At 44.3% G+C, this 22,866-nt stretch overlaps 1 protein-coding gene and 1 pseudogene across 26 annotated transcripts in view, besides 1 other annotated feature; one reads left to right on the plus strand and one right to left on the minus strand.

The window, feature by feature from the left end:
- SLC36A1 (solute carrier family 36 member 1) overlaps nucleotides 1-22,866 on the plus strand; it is a 211,490-nt gene that overhangs the window by 125,331 nt on the left and 63,293 nt on the right. For 18 of the 26 annotated variants that reach the window (XM_011537591.2, XM_047416924.1, XM_011537585.1 and 15 more), the window contains 4 exons: nucleotides 3,747-3,845; nucleotides 6,664-6,830; nucleotides 9,394-9,563; nucleotides 18,057-22,453. In XM_011537591.2, coding sequence (XP_011535893.1) covers nucleotides 3,747-3,845; nucleotides 6,664-6,830; nucleotides 9,394-9,563; nucleotides 18,057-18,328 — 708 coding nt within the window. In that variant the 3' untranslated portion in view covers nucleotides 18,329-22,453. The other 8 variants (XM_017009217.2, XM_047416925.1, XM_011537595.3 and 5 more) reach the window with 5 other exon arrangements.
- Nucleotides 7,533-7,651, minus strand: RNA5SP197 (RNA, 5S ribosomal pseudogene 197; annotated as a pseudogene).
- Nucleotides 20,914-21,083: an enhancer, noted in NCBI's record as "experimental_82529 CRE fragment used in MPRA reporter constructs". NCBI's record gives its function as "activates a minimal promoter by MPRAs in K562 erythroleukemia cells, with activity observed for both the introgressed and non-introgressed 5:150870486 variant alleles {active_cell/tissue: K562}" and the evidence as "EXISTENCE:reporter gene assay evidence [ECO:0000049][PMID:34662402]".

Raw genomic sequence — 22,866 nt, forward strand, 5'->3', positions numbered from 1 at the left:
TCATAAAAAGCAGGACTTCTTGTGCTAAGCAAATGACATTATCAATTTAGATTAACATTTTGCTCTGTGAGTATTGACTGTTTTTTCATCACATTAAGTCAGATGAGTGGCAGATATTGACTCTTCTGCAGAACTATTTTTTTAAACATAAAATAAATAGTTCTTCACGTCCCCTTTTTATGAGACTGGAAGGAGGGCCTGTGAATGCACTATAGACCATTTCCATTACCAAACAAGGAAGGGTAAATATTTACCCATGATTTCATGTTGTAATTAGAACTCTCAAGAGCACCTAGGATATACTCCACTGTACACTAAAGATGAATTGAGTGAGGCCACCCCCATAGACAGACACACCTGCTGCATTTACTTTTAAATCATTGCAGGTAGTCGGGCTGTGGTGGTTGCCATGATCAGAGGGCTGGGATAAGAATTTGGGTTCTTATAGCGTCTCAGTCCCAACCAACTGGTAGTATCCATCCAGAGTGATGTCTATGCATAGTACAACCAGGACACAGAGCAATGTCTGCATAAGGGCAGCCCTGCTGATTTCTTGAGAGCAATTCTGAGTCTTCCTCTGGGCTTAGCCAGAAGTTGTGCTGTGATCAAATAGTGCCGTCTGCCTGGAGTACAGCATGGGGGAAGAGGTTTGGCTGTGTTTTGATGTAGTCACTGCCCATAGTGTTGTAGTTGCTTCATTTTGATGTGTCATACAGCTAAAGATGCTCCCTTTAGGTCATTTTTGTTGCCGCTGCCTCTGCGGCTTGTTACTACTGTTCTGTTTTGGCATTGTGCCCCACTTACCATGAGGATTCCCCTACTGTTCAATGTTTCTGAATTTTTTCCCTAATCCTAAGCATGTACATGACTGTTCCTCTTGCCCCTCATGCACGTGCCATTGTAGGTAGCAGACCAAGGTCTTCCACAGAGAGCAGGTTCCTCTCTGTCTTCAGCATGTGGAGTCTCAAATGGAACAGTTCTGGGCAGAGTGCTTTGCACAGAGGGTGCTCCCAATAAATGTTTTATCACTGCATATCGTTGCTTCTGAGATGTATTTTTTCATAGTTATAACAGTTTCAGGATTGCAAGAGTACATCTCACAATCCATGTGTACCTTTAACAGCATTTTCTCAAAATACTGTTATTATAATTGATAATATGGTAAGACCTCACTTAATATCATTGATACATTCTTAGAAACTGCAATACATTAAATGTATGTATAGCGAAATCAGTTTTTTTCTCATCAATGTTATAACAAAACAGCGTTGAAGGAAGTGACTGTACGTCATTTCACTTAAAGTCTCAGTTTCCAAGAACTTATTGACGACAAGGGAGGACTTACTGTGTTGTAGAATTGAGGAGATATGTTAATAACGAGCTGATTTTAACATGTATGTTTCTTTATAAATTAAACTTTTCTCATTTAGTTGGTTGGGTCAGTAGCAATCAGTAAGTATGTAGAATAATACACTTCTTCTGCTGGCCTCATTCCCACAATATCCCCACATATGGATTGTGAAATTCCCAGTCTGATACTTGAATCTGATCTGATGTATGAATAAGAGCAGGAGTCATTCACTAACCAACAGATAGCACCTGTTTCCAATAACTTAGGTTACATTTGTGACTCAGGAATAATTACAGGCCACTCTTGCTCTCAAGTCCCATTGTAAAGGAAAAATACCTATTACCCTGTCTTCATTCCAGGTATTGAAATGCTTCTTACAAAGGGATCTAACAGATTTCTTAGCAGGGGCCCAGGGAAACACATTTATTTAATTTTTTTATTTTTTCAAAAGCAATATTACTGCTTTGAAATCTTTCAAAGTGAAGGCTGTTATAGAGCTTAATAATGGATCTCCTTTTACTTGCCTGAAATTATTCTGAAGCCTGTTAAGAGCATGCCCCGTATTATCCAAATAGCCATACAGTTAAATCAATTTTAAAACATTGTAAAAGGCTGTTTTAACATCAATTTTTATTTTAATTGAAGCAACATACACATGTGGTTTAGAAAACCAAATTGTAAAAAGACAGCAGCTTTGAATCCCTCCTCCCCACCCTGCCCCTTCCACACAGTCTGTTACTGGAGACTGTTGTTCGGTGGAGGATTTTGTGACTATACCTCTGTCTTAGTCAGGGTTCTCTAGAGGGACAGAACTAATAGGATAGATGTACATATATAGGGGAGTTTATTAAGGAATATTAACTCACGCAATCACAGGTTTCCACAACAGGCCGTCTGCAGGCTGAGGAGCAAGGAAGCCAGTCCAAGTCCCAAAGCTGAAGAACTCGAGGTCTGATGTTCAAGGGCAGGAAGTATCCAGCACGGGAGAAAGATGTAGCCTGGGAGGCTAAGCCAGTCTAGCCTTTTCACATTCTTCTGCCTGCTTTTTAATCTGGCCACTGGCCGAGCTGGCAGCTGATTAGATTGTGCCCATCCAGATTAAGGGTGGGTCTGCCTTTCCCAGTCCACTGACTCAAATGTGGCAACACCCTCACAAACACACGCAGGAACAATACTTTGCCTCCTTCAGTGCAATCAAGTTGACACTCAGTATTAACCATCACAACCTCCTTCCTTATACAACCTTAACATTGTACCTGCAGTTAACAGTTGCCCTTTTTCTGGCCCATTTTTTAAAGCATTCTTTTTGCTCCTCCTCCCCACATGTTCCAGCACTCCTGTTGTGTGCTTCTTGGTAATACTTTGAAAGTGCTCAAGTTCATTGATGAGAATTTTAAAAAGGAGAAGAAAAGAAGAGGAAAAAGGAAGAGAACCAATATAAAAATGTACCACTTTCTCTTCCCTTCCAGCTTTATCTTTGATGTTTATGTAGTTGTATCAGAGTGAATATATAAATTAAAATTAAAATTTTTTCTCACTAATATTTCGTAAGTAGTTTTTCATGTTCTACTTAGTTATCTCAATTTTTACTTTTTAATAGTGCATACTGGCCAGGCGCAGTGGCCAACGCCTGTGATCCCAGCACCTTGGGAGGCCGAGGCAGGCAGATCACTTGAAATCAAGAGTTCACAAACAGCTTGGCCAACATGGTGAAGCCCTGTCTCTACCAAAAATATACAAAAAATAGCCGAGTGTGGTGGCACGCACCTGTAGTCCTAGCCACTCAGGAGGCTGAGGCACGAAGAATTGCTTGAACCCAGGAGGCAGAGGGAGGTTGCAGTGAGCCGAGATCTCGCCACTGCACGCCAGCCTGGGTGACAGAAGGAGACTCTGTCTCTAGATAGATAGATAGATAGATAGATAGATAGATAGATAGATAGATAGATAGAATATATATTCTGTGGTTTAGCTGGTATGTTGTTAATTACTTAACTGATCCCTTGTTTGGAAGCACTTATATTGTTTTCAGTTACTTTATTAAACAGCTTTGCTCAGTGTTTTTCATCTTTTGATTTTTTTTCTACTTGAATTCAGTTTCTGGGGATGGGATTACCTAGTGAAAGAATGTGACTCTTTTTATGCAAGCCCCAACATTTGAGTTTTTAATAGTACCTTGGGCTTGTCTTTCCCCCAAACAAGTGGGTTTTTCTTAGCCTGAAGAGAAAAACATACAAAGGTTAAATGTCCCTAAATCATCTGTCAGGTATTAGACTTTCTTCCTTTAGAGAATCTTGGATTTGTTAAAAGGTATGACCTCTCCGATTCAGAGTTCAAATCTTGAATTTCTGTATAGCCTTTTGCTTTGTTTTGCTTTGTTTTGCTTTCTGTCTTTCAGAGGATCCCAGACCCCAGCCACCTCCCCTTGGTGGCCCCTTGGAAGACCTACCCTCTCTTCTTTGGCACAGCGATTTTTTCATTTGAAGGCATTGGAATGGTAAGAGCTGCACTGTGATTTGGGCTAGTGTTCTCTGGTGCCCTTGGTGTTCTCCAGGTCTGTTTCAAGGAATGCTGAGGAAACATTGTTAGAAAGTATCTTCTGAGGCCAGGCATGGTGGCTCACGCCTGTAATCTCAGCACTTTGGGAGGCCTAGACTGGTGGATCACTTGAGGTCAGGAGTTCGAAACCAGCCTGGCCAACATGGTGAAACCCCATCTCTACTAAATATACAAAAATCAGCTAGGCATGGTGGCACACGCCTATAATCCCAGCCACTCGAGAGGCTGAGGCAGGAGAATTGCTTGAACTGGGGAGACGGAGGTTGCAGTGAGCCAAGATCACGCCACTGCACTCCAGCCTGGGTGACAGAGCGAGACTCTGTCTCAAAAAAAAAAAAAAAAAAAAGAAATTATCTTCTGTAACTCACTGGTCAGTTAGTGAATAGTGTTTCGGGGATTCCATTGAGATTTCCCAGCTTCAACTTTTCAAGACAAATTATATGTAATTTTAAAATGTTTACATTCAAGGCCCCTTCACTGCACACTCATCTCCTATGTGTGCAGTAAGGAATAGCATATGGCAATCAGGAAGGCAGGGTCTAGAGTCAGACTGACATGGGGGTAAGTCCTGGCTCTGCCATAGAGTAGCTGTGTGACCTTGAGCAAGGGCTTCATCTCTTTGAGCCTTCATTATTTGTTCCTGAAAAGTGAGCTTAATGATTCGTAGTTATTAGGATTAAATGAGATATGTGCAAAATGCTTTGCACAGACCCTGACACATGGTAAATGTTTAATAGATTTTTATTTTATTAATAATGTTATTTTATTATTGAATCAATAAATGCATGAATAATTTCTCTGCCCTACAACATTGGTTTGGTGTATTTTCTGCGTGCAAAAGAGCAGCCTTCACTCCTGGCTCAGCATTCTGTGATTTCACCAAATGCTTTTCCTAAAAAGGAATCTACCCCTCACTTTTACCTAATTTGAATTTTATTTGTATTTTTCATAATAATGGTACAAAACTCTTCTCTGAAGAAAGTTATTCCTGGCCAAGGGCGCCACAAATGGGAAGAGCCTCCTCCCGGCACGGCACTTCTTTCTCTTTTTTGATTTCCGAGACACCTTATTTGCTTTTAAGAAAACCTAGAAGCTGTACACATTTTTTGTCAAAATCGTGAGAAATCACCCAGGTGGTGTTGATGGAACACGTTGAAGCTCTGACATCATGGGGGAGGCTTTGGGAGTGATCACATGTAAATCACTGGTCTCCCTGAGGTTTTATACCTTGCCCTGTGCTCTATCTTAGGGCTTTTCATTGCCCATGAAGAGTGTCTCACTGTAATTCAGAAACACAAATGGTTTCCTGCTGCTGGGGCAGAGGCCTGAGTGGGCCCATACTTCAGCAGTGAGAAAGAGATCCCAAGAACTCAGGACTGGAAAGAAGAGGCTGAGAAAGTGTGGAAAGATGCCCAGAGACCTTAGGTTCTTGGGCATCCTAAGGGACCTTGTGCTAAATTTTTAGTAGCTTTCCCTAACAGCACAGCGCAGAAATTGTTTGCTTGGTTTTATTACCCAAGACTTGTACACAAAGTTATTCTGCAAACATCATTTGTTTTCAAGATTTCTTTGTATTTCTATTTTTTTACAATAGAGAGAGAACACTGCTAGATTGACTCTTAGTTTTGGATCTAGGGCTTGTTCATTGCATCGGGGTAAAGTGCCAGGCTGCACACTGTATTCACCGTGTGCTCTGTGTTCATGCAGCTGTCACAGGCCAGATATGGGCTCCCTGCCCTCTGGCTCTTTGTATTCTTGGTATGATGGAAACTGACAGATACATTTAGAAGCTGTTTCTAATGGATGTGGATTAACTGAAGCTGGAGCAGGTGGTGGGGGACACTGGGGGCCCCTGGGAGCACCAGGCCTGCAGCAGGATCATGTTGGTGTGTGCAGCACAGACCTATTGTGCCTCATGGCTGCAGGTGCTGCAGGAAAATAAGTGTAATAACAAGATCAAAGTTTGTGGCACAGCTAGACATTGCCCAGTGTTGCTCTTCCTTATTAGCTGTGCCAGATCCAGTTGATGGCAGACTGTGAAGATCCTCACAGTCACACCTGCCATTTTCCCAATTCCTAAATAAACTCATTTTCATAGGGGCCTTTCCTTTGCTTTTACCAAAGTTAAAGAATGTCCTCTCTTATGATGAAGGAGGTAGCAAAGGTCAGTGGTTTGTAATAGGAGTCTGGAAACTGGGCATTGTTAAGCACCCATGTCTTGAGATCCTCTACGAAGTCATGCTTTCTTTCGCACTGCAGTTTCTCTCACTTGGAGGTTTAACTTGTCACTGCTAGTGCTTGCCCCTGTTGAGCTAGAGTGGCAGTTTTCCCTGACCTATATTTTGCATTCTTTAGACAGGTTAGCAGGAAGCTGTGATCTCAGGTTAGATGCCAGGTGGGCATGACATGAGAGGGCCTTCTGGTTGCCATGTGGCCTCACTCACAGGGCAAGGGACATTCCCAGCCTGCAGGGATCCTGCAGCAGGAGGACAGAGCACTGGCCTGAGCCAGGAGTCCTGGGCTCGTGTCCTGTCCACCCTTACTTTTAGGACTTCCTAGCTAGGCAGTGGGCTGCAGAGTCCCTTCTAGTCCCAAGAGCATAACGTCTGATGAAATAACTTTATTTAAAGAGCAGATGTGCTTCTGGAGAATTCTGGGGATAAAAGAGTTACTTTTTTTCTGAGGTTTTTTTTTTTCTTGGCCATTAACTTTTCTTTTTTCTGCACTTTCTCTCCTCTCTCACTACTCTCTCATAGGTTCTGCCCCTGGAAAACAAAATGAAGGATCCTCGGAAGTTCCCACTCATCCTGTACCTGGGCATGGTCATCGTCACCATCCTCTACATCAGCCTGGGGTGTCTGGGGTACCTGCAATTTGGAGCTAATATCCAAGGCAGCATAACCCTCAACCTGCCCAACTGCTGGTACGTGGAGGGAGGATGGAAACCTAGGAGCACTGGATATTTTTAAAAACTAATGGGTCACAGTGTGGATTCTCCCTCTTACTTATCTCTTAAACCAGCCCACTTCACTCTAGCCCACCATCCCCTGCCACTGCCAGCCCTCACTGGCTGCCCTGGACTGCATTCTGTTTGGGGAATTCATGTAGAGCCTTCTGCTGAAGCCATTGGTGCTGATCAGCCGATGGGTAAGCCATTTCTCCTTGGAATTCCTAAGCTCAGAAGGACCGAGTATCTAGTCCATTCATGGTAAACCATTCCAAATAGACAGGGAGATGGGAGGGCAAACCTGCATTTGATTCCCAGCATCGGTTGTGCCTCTCCCTTGGTAGTAACAGGCTTGATATGCAGATGGGAGCATCTCACTGTGAGCCGGGGATTGTTGGGAGTCCTTTTGTACCTCCCTTGCATTGGTGAATGTATTATAGGGAAATAGTGAGCCATTTTGAAATGCTTCCTGAAAGGGTGAATGTCCCAGGGCATGTGCAGAGCAACCATCCTGTTTTGAAGATGAATCATCTCATGGTGGAGAGCAGCTGTTAGCAGACACTGAGAAGCTTGTTGAGTGCTCTGCGGATCAGAATCAGCTTTCAGTCTAGGCTGGCTGATCTGCCTGGGTGTGCTTTTTATTTTGTTTTGTATTGTTTTATTTTATTGTATTTTTTAAGACAACAGCACTCAGTATTTCCAGGGGCTTTCCCGTTCAAGTACGAACCAGGCTTGACCCTGCTTAGCTTCCAAGATCAGGTGAAATTGAGCACATTCAGAATGGTATGGCTATAGACCTGGATTCGCTTTTTATTTTTTTATATTCTTTTTCAGTTGATTTTAACTCGTGAGGCATACCAATTATATATATGGATGCAGTATGTGTGACATTTGGATACATATGTACAATGTGTAATTATCAAATCAGGGTAATTGGCATATCCATCTTGTGTCTACTTTTAAATTTCCAAATGTTTCTGCCCTTCCAAGAAGGAAGAGGCAGGTGGTAGCTTGGTGTAACTGTGTCACCTTTCCCTGGAAGATAAATGGATCGGGAGCAACAGAAGCAGCCCACATGATCCGAAGCCATAGAGGAGAATCTGTCTTCTTTCCTAACACCCCAAACCCAGCTGCTGTAACTCTTCTGCCTCCATTTGGGTATAATTTATTTGGCTATCCCTGCAGGTGTCACTCTCCTAAGTCCAGACTTCACAGCTCTCCAGAGGCTTTGGGGCTGCTTTGAGTTTAATGATAGAGCCACCAGATGATTTTTCCCAAGAGTTTTTATTATCTATTCATGGAGCAAGTATGACCTTTTACCAGACTCAGTCTTTACAAGGTTGTTCTCCTGCTTATAGCATAAGAACATCTTCTAGATTTTAAATTCAACCACAGAGAAACTCAAGGCACATATACACAGTCTGTATTAGCACATTTAAATAGATTTCCGACAAGGGAGGACAAATGTTTCTTGCTGTTTAACACATGAGGGTCTGGTTTAAGGTGGAGCTTTGCTTAGGGACAGAGACCTTTCCTTTTAATGACCAGGTCAGATCTGTAAGTTGATCACAGACTGTTTTCCTACTCTGTGCAGTCAAGGCACTGGAGTAATAAAATAGGGATATCCTGTGGTGAGTTACGTCATTTTTGGAAGCTACACTTGAAGCAGTAGTAGGAAGAGAGCCATAGTGGTATGGAAAGATGGAATTCTGCTCTGGCCTCTTGGTCCTGCAGTGTCTTCATCTAATTCTAGGGACACTGACTTGGATGGGACAGATATAAATAGGCTTGTGACATTTTAATTGCAATTTTGTTTTTATTTTTGAAGGCATGTACACCTGTATGCCCATGGCAAAGATTGAGATTTTCAAAAGGTATATAGAGAGCATTAAGCTTCCACCCCGCGCCCTCCACTCTAGTTCCCAATTTTACAATTTCCCATTTCAGAGGCAACCATATTCCCAGTTTCTTTTTTGTTTGTTTGTTTGTTTTGAGATGTTTAGTGTATGATTGTCATGTGGGGTGAGTGTGTGTTTTTTCCTCCTCTTTTTTCTTTTTTAAGACAAATTGTAGCACTCTGTAGGTACTGTATTGCTTCATGCTTTTTTCACTTAAAAAAAGTGATATAAAACTGTCCCCATGATAGTGATATGCTATATCATGTGATAGAGTGATATATCATGGGGATAGTTTCATATCACACCATCACACCTAGAGTTCTGCCTCATACTTTGTTAAAAGCTATACGGGGGCACCACGATTTACCTATCGAGTTCCCACTGGTTAACATTTAAATTGTTTTCAGTCTTTCCTTCTTAAATAATGCTGCAGTGAGATATTTTGAATATAAGCTTTTGTGTATGTGTGTGAGGATATCTGTGAGGTAAATTTCTAGACATGAAATTGCTGGGTCCGAAGGACATGTGGGTTTGTATCCTTGATAAGTGTCAACAAATCGCAATGGGACCATTTTGCACTCTTGCTGATGATGTATAAGTGTGCTGAGCAGGCTTGGAATGTCTCCTGTCTGTTTCGGCAGGTTGTACCAGTCAGTTAAGCTGCTGTACTCCATCGGGATCTTTTTCACCTACGCACTCCAGTTCTACGTCCCGGCTGAGATCATCATCCCCTTCTTTGTGTCCCGAGCGCCCGAGCACTGTGAGTTAGTGGTGGACCTGTTTGTGCGCACAGTGCTGGTCTGCCTGACATGTGAGTAGAAGATGATAATTGCCTTGCTTGTTTTTCCCTAAAGGGCACCCAGTCTGCAGGCTTTCATGAGAAAAGACAATGTGTGTTGTAGTGAAGCTGGCTATGTTTGTGACAGAGAACCTGGCCCATGGCCTCACTTTCAGAGTTGAGGCACCTCCAGATGGGGAAGTGAATTAATTACATATGTACTGTAAAGAACATGGGAATGAGGACAGTGGTTTATGTATAGATAGGGTATGAAATGCTGTGGAGGTGGTTATCATTCAGAGTAAAGACATGCGATTACTATCCCATATTAAATAAGGTAAAGGTCTGAAAGCCATTTAACCCATATCTGTAATGAGTATAAGTTACTCTGATGAAGGGTACTTATTTGCTTTTTCAAATAGTTGTTTTTCCACTGTGACAAGTTGCTCCTTAGATTTCCTTTAGAGGCTTTATGATAGTATTCTAGACATTTTTTAATGTCAGTCTTACTAAATATGTTTCAGAAAATTTCTATTGATTAACCTAGGTATTTGATTGATCACTTGTGTTTTATTCTTCTTCTCTCAACCCCATTCCCAGGAGTGTAAGTTAAAAGACAGGATACCCTTCTGTTTGCTGTGGTTGAAAACTGGTGACATTTAGAAAATAAAAGTAAATTTTTTTTGTAGCTTCTGTGAGTTGGTAGACTAGAGAACCCCTGAGCAAATCGGTTGATAATAGCTAATTTAAGTTTCTAAGAGATTTGCAATTGTTTTCCAAATTCAAATGCTTAAAAGCATAGATTCCTCTTTTTGGCTCTATTTGGCTTTTTTTTCTCTTTTTAGGTTTTATTATTTTTGAACAAGAACCTCTTTGCTTATTATGTTGAGACTTCCCTGAGAATTTTCTTAAATTATTCAGTCTGAGCCTCTGTCTTTGGGATAAAGATAGATCCATATGACTTTTTAAATTCTAATTAGGGTTGAATGTTTTAAGGATGAAAGATGGGAAAGTTGTCTAGCATTTGCTCTTAGTCACTCCTTCAGGCCCTCTCCTAGACCAGCCTATATAGAAACAGCCCACGCAGCAGCTAATCCAGGGGCCAGGGCTGTTGAAAGCCAGCTGCTGTTCCCACAGCGACTGAAAAAGAAGGAACATGATGTATCCTGCTTTTCTAATAGATTGCCTTAATGTGTGCTGCTAAGATGGGATGCTTGGACTGTAAATTTTAATCCTATCTTGTGCCAGTAACTCTCCATGCTTTGATTCCAAAGTGTATGTTTCCACCGTGGATGGAGTAGCTCTAAGTGCTTGAGGAGACAGCTTTCACGTGTATGGTATTTATAATGTAAACTCTGAGGGCCCAATTCTTAAATCTAAAGGGCACTGGAAGAAAGAGTGTGGTTAGTTCAAATAATTTGCTTTTATCCAAAGTGCTCCCTCCGGAAAAAGTAGGTCTCTGTAGGTAAAATGTGCCTTCCTGACTAAACAGCTCCTCCACCCTGCCTATTGAGCTGGGGCAGTGACAGGAGCCTGACTCCTCTCCCTGCCCAATTTTCCCCTCCAGCCTGGCTCAGCCTCCCTGTAGCATATGTCACACTTCCTGCCAGGTTTATTTCTGCAGCACCCTGCAGGAGACAGCAGTCTCTGATTCACAGACCTCATGTTATCCTTAGATGCCTCTTGGATTTTGCTTCACTTTTCCTGGCCCTGTCTGTGAGTCTCATCTCCCTTCAACAGGACGATGCTCAGAAGACACGGCTGCTTTTGGTCTTCAAGTGTGTGCAGTTGTTTTTCCCTTCTGTGATCTGTTGTGACTTAGCATTGCATTGTCATCCTGTTCAAAAAGGCAGCCCCCTTTATGTCTGAGAGCACTCGCCTCTCTCACCTTCCTTGGAGACTTTGAAGTAATTGTGGGACTCAGTAGAGGCCTTTCATGGCAGCAGCAACTTAAATGTATTTATGCGCGTTCATTTTGTTCTTGCTTCTCTGTTCTTTCAGATCTTTCAGCACCGTTGGTTAGTATGTGATTTTAGATCTTTAATTGATTTTTTTCATTTATATTCATAAATTTTAACAGCAGCTTCTTTTATTACTATTTCTGGTGTTTTCCTATCTTTTCCCCAACTTTTCCTCCTCCTCTTCACCCTCCAAAGGGAACAGGAGGAATTCAGTGTAGTTTCTTTTTTTTTTTCCCTCTTGGAATTCAACTTTCTCACCACTCTCCCCCATCCTCCAAAGATTACTATGGCTGATACGGACTTTGTGATGCTTAATTTCAAACAGTTGGAGAAGAGGGGGAGGGAAAACAAGTATTTCATAGGATAGTGCTCATTTTGTTATGATTTCATATCGGACAGTATCTACTTCCAGCCCATATTTTTGGAAATGCGGACTTAGCAGGTCACCTTATGTCCAGACCTTGTGTGGAAGAGGCTGGCCCCACCTGTGGAGTCTGGAGTTGTAGGATCAACGGTTTTTTAGATTTCTTTGGAGCAATAACCCATCCATCCTTCAGTGATTCATACTGATTCTCTGTGTCATTTGCCATGTGAAACATTTTACTTCAGTTTGCTATGAAAATTTCAGAAACCTATTTCTGAAGATATAATTACCTAAAATCGCATCATCCAAGAAGCCTGTTCAGACTGGAATGCAGAGCTGCAAAACATTCCAAGCAGTCGGATTTTTAGAGGATGAAGCTTCCAGGTCCAAACAGAGTAGCTTCTTAGTACCTTTGGGCCTTTCACACTTTTTAGTCTTGCAGCTACAGTGAAGAAGAGCAGCATCATTAATTAGCTGTGTAACCCTGCCACCCCCCACCCTGCATTCCCCGCCCAGGAACCCTCATAAGGCCTCAGGGTCCTCAACTGTAAGATAGGAAGGGTGTCTGACCTCTAAGGTTTCTCTCAACTCCAAAATTCTGTGATTCTGTATAGGTGCTTTGCGCTTGATTTTAAGTTTCTACACAAATATTACTCTAAAAAAAGAAAGTCAATGTAAAAACATTTGGGAATAAAAGAAGAAATTCCAGTATTCCACCAATTTAACAAAGTAATTTTTTTTTGCATTGTATCTTCTGTGTCTTAATCCTCATGGGTGCCTTGTAAAAATAGTTGCAATTGTAGTTTACACATAATTTTGTCTTTCACATTTTATTTAGTTTTATATCACAAATATTCATATCTTTCACTAATATTTTCATGACCTCGTGGTATTCCACTGTATTGGTGGATCATATTAACTAAGGTACTCCTTTCATGTTGGACATGGTGGTTGTTTCCCTTGTTTTCGTATTTTTTAAATTTATACCCCCACTAAGTCAAACTTTGTATACTGTCCAAGACTACTATGAATTTTAAAGGCATATTTATAGACATTTAAAAGTAACATGGTGAAACCCCGTCTCTACTAAAAATACAAAAACAAAATTAGCCTGGTGTGGTGGCAGGTGCCTGTAGTCCCAGCTACTTGGGAGGCTGAGGCAGGAGAATGGCATGAACCCAGGAGGCAGAGCTTGCAGTGAGCCAAGATCGCGCCACTGCACTCCAGCCTAGGTGACAGGGCGAGACTCCATCTCAAAAACAATAAAAATAAAAATAAAAATAAATAAATAAAAGTAACTTGGTAAGTTTTAACAGCTTTGATCATAATAAAATAGCAGCAAGAGCTCCCAGCACAGGAGCCATAAATGGCCAGCGTATTTCGTAAGTTCGCTTTTGTTCTTTTCAGTGCTTTGCTCTTGTTGTGTATAAGTCAGCTCTTTCTGATGCTGGTTCAAAACCACAGGCTCCAGAATCCAGTTCCTTCTGTGAACATGACTGTTGGCCTTATGTTGCTTCAGCAGTTTAAAAGCTCATATTCTTTGTGTCTCTTGACTCGAAGGGAAGATGTTTTGTAATACTGTTGGAGCCCTCTTGACTAATCATGTGGTCGAGCTGAGGTTGTCCTCTGTCCCCCCTTTTGTACACGCCACAGCTGAGCTGCTGCTGAGAAGTGTATAACTGCATTTGTTATACAAATGTCTTCCTTTTTGTCTGGGCTGGGGTCTTTGTGTGTGTGGGGGGGGTGATTAGGGGAGAGTAGGGAGAGGGCTGTTCCTGGCTGGCTGCTTCCTGAGATATCTACCTTGTTGAGTGTCTCTTCATAGGCACTTTAACTCACAGAAGACATTTAGTGCCAGAAGGGGTTTTATTTGCCCCACATGTCTGCATAGTCGATTGCTGCTTCTGGAGTTAGTTAAAGTCATTTTCCATGGTGGCAAAACAGATACCCGTGCTGTTGAACCCTGGGGGCTGCTGATGCTGATTTGGTTTGGACATCCTTCTCTTCTTCCCACTTTGTGTTAGTGGGAGGCTCGCTCTTCTTGCCCTCTGCAGTGTCACGCTTCATGTAGGGTTCAGCGGTGGTATGTGGTTCAGCTAGGACAGGAAGAAGGACTTCCCTTTGCAGCCCTGTGGTCCTGGCTTTAAGAGGAGAGAAATGTTCTTAAAATCTCTATTAAGGATATTTTTATTAGGCATGTTTATCTTATATAGTGGTGAAAACAAGAACAAGTTTTTAGATTACTTATAAAATATCATGATGAAGCGGAAGATCTTTGTCCAATCAGAGGAAAAATTCTGATCCCAATCTTCTGTTTCTGTTTCCACTTAACTCCCACCACAGAGTGGAGCATCTCTCTGACTCCACTTAACTATCATGAAGTGCCCATATGTCCTGCTAGGTCAGTATGGGAGAGGGTGGGGAGATGACAGACTCTCAGGGCTGGGAAAGGCTCTGATTTGTCTCCTGCCAGGGACTCATTTTCTCTGATAATAAAGGCCTCCTGTCTCTTGAGCGGACATCAGCATTTGTGGAGATGCTTGTGTGGCTGGGACTGAAGGAATAACTCACACTTCCTTTATCCATACAAAACCGAGTGGGTTAGAAGCTCCCTTTTGGGCAAGCCATGTGTTCGAGGCTTGGAGCCCCATCGCTTTGCTGTGCCACCCTCAGGCAGGACGTGGTGCTTCCCAGTTGTCAGTGAGGTGAGGAACATATCCCAGAACACAGTCCTAAGTGACTAACACTGGAGTGTATAGTTCCTTAGAATTTCAGAGTTGGGCGAGACTTCAGACATCACCCAGTTACCACATTTCACAGGTAAACGAATGAACTGAGGCTCAGAATAGTAAGCTGATTTGCCCTGCACCACTCAGCTTGTTATGGAGCAGGGACTGGTGATAATATTGAAGCATTTATTATTGGTTTTTAGAACGCTGAGTTCTTTACATGAGTGATATCGTTTGACCATCCTGTTTAGTAGTTGGGGAAATGAGTCTCAAAGAGTTTAGGTAACTAGCCACTGAGTGGTAGAGCTGAGGTTGGAGCCTGGGCATTCCAAATCCAGAGCCTACACCCATTCCTATACCACCCTCTCCCTGGGGCTCAGTTCTCCCGATTGTTACCTCAGTGCAGCTTCCACCCCACAGTAACACCTGGCACCATCACTGCAAGGATGACATTAGGCAGGGAGACCCAGACCCCAGAGAGGGCAAGTGTCTTGGTGTCGGTACCACAGCAGACCAGCTCTTTTGTTGAGCGTTAGATGACCTATGATGAGAATGCTGTTTTGTCATCAGCCTACAATTTTACCTCCAATTTTCTCCATATTCAACCCTCAAGGTTTGGGGGATGTCACCAACTCTATTTAGAAGCAGCTAAGGGCTGAAAACATAGTAGTTTTGAGTTTCAGGGAAATTAAAAGCCTAAACTTTTTGCACACTTCTCAAAGCCTTGAGATCGGTGAAGATGTTAATGAGAATTGCCATTATGGTTGATTAATAGAAGAAGGAAAGATGAAGAACTGCCCCAGAGTATATAACACTGTGGCAGAGGTGGATCTGAGACTCGATATCCTTGTACCCGTTTGCTGTCAGGCTTTGGATCCCTTGTCCAATTCCACTTGACAAAGCAGAAAGAGGTCAGGGCTGATCGTGTGCTGGGTTCTCCACCATGCACCATGGTGCATCCCTGTGAAAGCTAGCCTGGGTATCTACCTCTCATTTCCTCACAGGCAGGATCCTTCCACTGATCCGCCAGACTCCCTGTCTCCCCTCCCTCTGCATTTCCTTGCCCATCAGGTCTGTGAGGTTATGGGCCAGGGGCTTGAGGTCCTGGATCCTGGTCCCAGCTCTGTTGCTTCCTGTCGTTTACACCCTCTGGGCCTCTCTTTCCATAGGACTGTAGTAATATTGTGGAGTTACATACCTGTGAAACAGAGGCAGATTCACCTCCACTAGTGAGTGCTTAGCAGTGCTCTCTGCTGGGTACCACTAGACATTCTGCAGTAATGGAAATGAATGGAAATGTCCCATGTGTGTGCTGTCCATTGCAGCAGCCACTAGGCACCAGTGGTTGTTGAGCCTTTGAAATGTGGCTAGTGTGAATGAAGAACAGGATTTAATTTCATTTTAATTCATTTCAATGTAAATAGCCGTCCGTGGCTATGTTGGACAGCACAGCTCCAGGGTAAGTGTGAGGCAGGAGGCATGAATCCATTCTTTCCCTGGTGTGTTAGTCCATTTGCGTTGTTATAAAGAAGCACCTGAGACTGGGTAATTTATAAAGAAAAGAGGTTTATTTTGGCTCATGGCTCTGCAGGCTGTACAGGAAGTGTGATGCCAGCATCTGCTTCTGGTGAGGGCCTCAGGAAGCTTCTAATCATGGCAGAAGGCAAAGGGGGAGCAGGCTTTATATGGCAAGACAGGGAGCAAGGAGAAGGGAGGTACCAGGCTCTTTTAAACAACAGCTCTCTCAGGGAGGGCCCCAAGTCATTCATGAGGGATTTGCCCCCACGACTCAAACACTTCCCACCAGGCCCCACCTCTGACATTGGGGATCACATTTCAACATGAAATTTGGAGGGGATCCAAACCATATTACCTGGTAAGTCCTTGTTTCCACATGTCTCTCATCTTACTGCAGGGAGTGCTATTCTCTTTTGTTTGTTTTTATGGCTCCTCAAAAATCAACTTTAGACATTTCAGTTTAAAGTGTTTCTTAAAAATCTGGTCTCTAAATGCAATCCAATCCTTCAGCTGCTCAGCCAAAGAAGCAGTGATCGATGTAGACATTGGCTGCCTTGGACTGAGATGTTCTGGCAGTCTCACCAGTGTGGTGCCTTCCTTAGAGTGACTTGACTGCATTTTCGCTTTACAGAATGAACTTAGAAGCAAACCTCTCATATAAAATGTAACCCTCTCGTAGGAATCAATGAGGTAGTAGATAAGCTCTGGATGTCTGTATCAAGGCTGGGAGCATCCAGCTGTAGCCCAGCAGTAGGAAAGACAATCTGTCAAACTATATTTGATTGCTAACAGGTTAGTAACTAACAGGAAGTCATGCACTGTAGCAGGATGTACTTTTCATGGCCAAAAAGATGAGTACTAATGATGATAACATTAACAGGTAAGACATCCCTACTGTACACCAGGCCTTTTGTGAGGCACCTGCATAACCTCATTTGACCATCATGACATCTCTATGATTCAGGAGCAGTTAATATCCCCATTTTGCCAACAAGAAAACTGGGGAATAGAAAGGTACCATACCTTCCCCAATGTCACTCAGCTAATTAGCAGCAGAGCCAGGATCTGAACACAAGAACCTAGTTCCAGAGCCCACAGGCCTCAATAAACCTGTGAAACACTGGCCTTTGCCCACCTGGTGGAAAGATCGGTGAGATGGGAAGCGTGGGGTCAGTGGGCACTAGGATGGGTGTATTCGGTGAAGCCTCCTCCTGCTTACAGCACTGTCTGGCAGTGTTGACAATGGCTGGTATGGCACGGAAGCCGATGGCACCTCCTGCGGCAGTGCACCATTGGTCTTCGTCAGTTCCTCCTTCCTGGCTCACCCGTGGCTGAGTTTCAGATGTGAGAGCCAGTGGGTGTCCTGTCACAGAGATACGGTCGTCGTGTGGGGCTTCGCCAGGGGTCAGCCTGCAGATAGAACTGCTTTTTTTCACCTGTATCAAAATGCTCTGTGAAATGCGGTTTTATCACGGTGTCTTTCCAGAAGGCGGGGTTTCTTTTCCTATTTGGTTTCTTGTCAGTCAGGTAGAGATGTTTGTGTTGGAGGCTCCCTGAGTGGTAAGAAAATGAGCAGCTGCTCAGGAACGTCCACCTCCTTTTCTTCTCCCTACCCTCCCTCCTTGGGTAGAAACCAGATTGACCTGAAATGTAATTTGGTTCCTTTTGCACAGAAAGATGGAAGTCATGTGCTGTAGCCGGAAAAGCTGAAAGCCTGGGGACCGGAGCCAGAAGATCCGGGTTCCGGTCCCAGTTCTGCTGACCTTGCAGTGGGACGCCAGTTATTCCATGTTTCTGGGCATCTATTTCACAGAGATTGAACTGGACAATGTCTAAGTTTTCTTAGAGCTCTCAATCCTATAAGATGGACAGATGCTGAATTCGCTCAACAGTAGGGAGACAGACCTTTCCCAGCTCTGGGCATCTTAAACAGGCATGTCCTCTCTCCCTGCAGGCATCTTGGCCATCCTCATCCCCCGCCTGGACCTGGTCATCTCCCTGGTGGGCTCCGTGAGCAGCAGCGCCCTGGCCCTCATCATCCCACCGCTCCTGGAGGTCACCACCTTCTACTCAGAGGGCATGAGCCCCCTCACCATCTTTAAGGACGCCCTGATCAGCATCCTGGGCTTCGTGGGCTTTGTGGTGGGGACCTATGAGGCTCTCTATGAGCTGATCCAGCCAAGCAATGCTCCCATCTTCATCAATTCCACCTGTGCCTTCATATAGGGATCTGGGTTCGTCTCTGCAGCTGCCTACCCCTGCCCCATGTGTCCCCCGTTACCTGTCCTCAGAGCCTCAGGTATGGTCCAGGCTCTGAGGAAAGTCAGGGTTGCTGTGTGGGAACCCCTCTGCCTGGCACCTGGATACCCTGGGCCAGGTAACCTGAGGGCAGGGGAGAGGTGGGGTGGCAGACACGCAGAAGTGCTACTAGTGACAGGGCTGCCATCGCTCACCTGTACCTATTTACACCCAGAACTTTCCAGCTCCCCCTCATCATGCCTCCTCCTTCCTACCTGCCTCCCCTCTGCTGGTGCACCTCGCCCAACTCATTCTTACTGCACAGTTCACTTTATTTAACAATTTTCATGTCCCCCACCTCATGTTTTCACCTTTTCTGGGCCAGGCATAGATTAAGTAACTGGGAACGCCCCCTCTTTATAAAGCTGGGCTTCTTTCTCATCTCTCTCCCAAATGTTGTATCTCAGTATTCTTCCTATTCGAGTCTCCAGGGGGTGGCTGGACCTACCTGGTCATTTGAAACAGGCCCCCAAGCTGGAGTTTTTAATCTGGACTCTCTGGCTTGCTGTGACCCCTAAGGCAATGCTTCTCTTCCCTGGATTCCTTAGTGTGGGTCACAGTACTGTGTTCTTAGTTGCTTTAGCTCTTAAAACATACGAAGTGTTGCCTAAACTGAAAATATTTATCTTTTATTTAAAATCAGATTTTTGTTTTTAGACTGTCTTAGATCTGGGGCTATTACGAATCACTTCTTCTTCAGTAAACTTTGACTCAACTTCTCCTGCTGAAAAGAAGCTCGCTCCAGATGTCTGCATGGGTCCTCGGCACTCTTGGCTGAGGACTCAAAGGTTTTAATCAGGATCGTCTAAAAATGTACCTCGGTGAGGAGGCACAGATTTTGCCTCCTGTTGACCAGCCTGGTTTCATACCGAAAAGACATTGAAGGACTGCAGAAATGTATGGGTGCACCGGGCCGAGGGAAGGGTGGCTGAGTGAGAGGCGTATAAAATGGGGCTGTGTGCATGCAGGCCCATGTTTCAGCCTCAGCCCACGCCAGGTGAAAGGATCAGCAATGCTCTGTTGCCATCGTGCTGGGACGACACCAGCTCTATTGCCACCGATGAGTAGCTGAGGTCAGTGTGCACAGAGTTTGAAATTAAGTTAATAGACTTTACAGCAGCTGGTCTGACACTACGCGCAGTGCTCGGTTGTTTACAATCAGTGGGGAAAAGGGCAGAACCAGTGCCCGGCCCCACACTGCCTCTGTGGCCTGGACTTTGAAAGGAACCCACTGAACACTAATTATGAGCCCTGTCTTTCCCCCAGAATGCCTCCCTGGGTTTCACAAACAGCCTTGAGGTTGGCCCTCCTCAAGGTCAGCCTTCAGATTTGGGAGCAAACTTCAGAGAAGGCAGAGGAAGATACATTGCCTTGCTGTGGGCTGCCTCTTCTTTCCTCTTGGTGTGCGAAGTATTTCAGAAGGCCATTGATGAATTCCCCCTCTTTAGCTGTGTATTTGTGCACGTGTGTGTGTACGTGCGTGTGTGTGTGTGTTCCTGTGTAAGTAACAGACCAGACTCCTTTTCTCTTCTGTCCCGTCACCAGGCTCTTGCTTCACTGCAGATACAGTTCACTCTGAAAGCTGGTTGAAGGAGAGCAGCAAAAATGTATCAGGGGTTTTGCTTCTGTGTTTCGCCAAAGCTCATAAGGGCTGTGACCCACCCATATGGCCCCAGTTTTTTCTGTCTCTTCTGTTCCAAAGCCAGGAGAGCTGACTTCCAGGTGAAGGGATGGGAAAAGTGGACTCTCATTGTAGTGACTCCCAACCTACCTAATAATTTGTTAACTTAGGAATATGCTATCATTGTTGACTTGTTCTTCCTTAGGAGAAGGACGATTTTCACCCACCCTTTCTGTTCTATGGTGGACTCTTAACAGGTGCTATGTGACCAGGAATCTAGCCGGGAGTAGCAGAGGCCCTGTCTTCTGAAGTCTCAGGCTTAGAAGTTACCAAAGTGGGCTCAGAAACTGTCATCTCCTGGTTCCAAGTTCGGGCTCTGGCAGCCCAGCCGCTATCTTAGCTGTCTTTCCCAGCGGTGCTAAGAGTGGTCTCAGTGAGAAGGTAGATGCCAACTGGAGGGCCAGACCTGTGTCCTGCCCATGTCCTCCTTGGTGGACGTTTCTGTTTACTCAGAGCTGCTAGAGACCATCCTGCCCATCCGAGTTCTGAGATTGGGACTGTGATGTTGGGACCTGAGGACTGGATGGTAGAATACTGGGGTCCCCCAGCTCTTAGCAGGATGCAGGCTATTGCTTCCACACCCCTGGCCGTGAGAACGTGGTATGTAGGAGAGTTGGCTGTAGCTTTAGGATTTCTGGAAGCCAATTTGGCATGGCCTATTTGATCTCTGGCTTGTGCTCCTGCTACACTGACAGACTGATTGCGTGGCTCTTTCAGAAGACCCAGGAAGGGCAGCTCCAGCCAGAGGACCTTCCTGGCTATGCAGGTGCACAGCTCTTAGGCATCAAGCAAAGGGTCAGCCAGTCAGTAGTAGTGGGAGGAAGCCCTTCCTCCTCTTATGCAAGCAGCTCGCAGCCAGCCCAGAATCTCTTATGCAGCCCAAAGGGCTTCTTGAGGTAGAGAGCCCTCCCCAGTGTCTTCCCAGGATAAGTAGAAATATGATCACAGAGCAACGGAGCAAAGGCTTTCGGGAGTGTGAGGCTGCATCTGCTGGAGCAAAGGGAAACCGTGGGCTTTTCCGGCCAGATACTCTTGAGCTCTGTGACCCTGCTCCTGTCACCCCAATTTCTCCAAGCCAGAGGTAGCTTTCTCAGAGCCCCTTGGTGGTTCTGTCCTCCAAATGCTGCTGTTGGGAGCGGGCTTCCAGCTCTCAGTGGGCAGTGCACCTCCTCCTAAATGCAGGCACTTGCTAGGAAGAGTGTGAGCTGGCGTCTTCTGTTCACCCTGCCTAGCAGTTGTCACCATTCACAAGTGGCATTATTTATGTTGTGCTGCTGTCCAGCTGCTAAGATCCCTTCATCTGCACAAGCCCTGGCTAGATATGTGTGAATGTGTGGCATCATTTCACTTCAGCCGCCCAATTCCATCTCTCCTCTGCAGCCAGATTCACTGGCTGATGCTCACTGCTCACTGTCTATCCCCACGAAATTTAGTTTTATCAGTAGTCTTAAAGTGTTGATCTCAAACAAGTACATTAGAAAAATCATGTTTCTTCTCTCTCATCTTACTTTTTCTTCTCAGATTTCTCCCTTCCTAGAACATTCTCTCTGTTTAGCACTAATGTTCACCTCGTATTTTTTGGAAGTGCAAAAATCTCAATTTGTGTCTGTTTACAGCTCTCTCTCCTCACTGCTCACAGCAAGGGGTTCTGTATCAGTGGATTTCATTTTGTAGCTGCTGAGATGTTAAGGCAAGCCTCAGCATCTGCCCCTGCTGGGTGCACAATGCTGCTTCCTCGAAGAGAAGACACAGAGTCCAAGTGGCAGGACTTGAGGTTGGCTTCCACTCTGCCTTAGAAGTTAATTTTCCAAAGTACATTACAAATCTCTGAGGCCATTAGGGGAAAAGGAAGGGGTGTGGTTTGTCTTTGAAATTACGGTTAATACTTTTAGACAGTAAGTCCGGCTGGTTGCAGGGCTATTTGCCCCGACAGCATCAGCCTGTAACATTTCTTCTCTTTCCTTTGTGCCACTGAGTCGTTCCCTGGCCAGAGGACATAAATGGTGCTGGTAGGAGGTTATCAGAGTAAGGAAGGTAGCAGATATAGGTGCAGGGTGCCTGTCATTCACTGTGTTATTTGGTTTAAATCAAAGTGATTCTGGGGGAAGCTATGCTCTTTCAGTGGATAATAAAATTGGTAACTCTATTGTAAAACATGTCAATGGTGTGTGAAGAAAAATCAACCAATCTGTAGGTGTTGATAACTAGACAGTACTGTGTATGTTACGTGCCTGTGTGGATGTGCACTTCCAGCATGGTATGTGTAGCGATGTGGATCATGCCAGAGTTCGTAGATCCTGTTTTGGGGTTTGCACATGGATCGTATGTTAAGCTTTTTCTTTTCAATAAATGAATTTTATTTTTATTTTTGAGAGGTTGCTATCTGTGTCTTTTTTTTTTTTCTTTTTATATCACTCAGATCCCTTTACTAGATACTGGGTTAAATGTTTCCGGCTTATGCCACAGAGTTCATATGGCAAAGTGGCACAAGCAGTAGACCCATCCATGGAATTAAGAGTCGCCCAAGAAGAAAGGGACTAGGAATGGTTTTTTATTTTTTTTTCTGTTAGACAATCCTCCCCTCCCTAAACCTCCTCCTGCTTCTCTCGAAAACTTGAGTAAGAATTTTCAGCCCTCTCCTTGCATAGCAGATGAGCCCACATGACAGCCAGTTTTATATGTGTCAACTTATAATTCAGTCAAACACTAATCCAGGTGTTGCTGCGAAGGTATTTTGTAAATGTGGTTAACATCTATAATCAGTTGCCTTTAAGTAAAAGAGGTT

The sequence above is a fragment of the Homo sapiens genome, chromosome 5, assembly GCF_000001405.40.
Source record: "Homo sapiens chromosome 5, GRCh38.p14 Primary Assembly".
Lineage (NCBI taxonomy): Eukaryota > Metazoa > Chordata > Mammalia > Primates > Hominidae > Homo > Homo sapiens.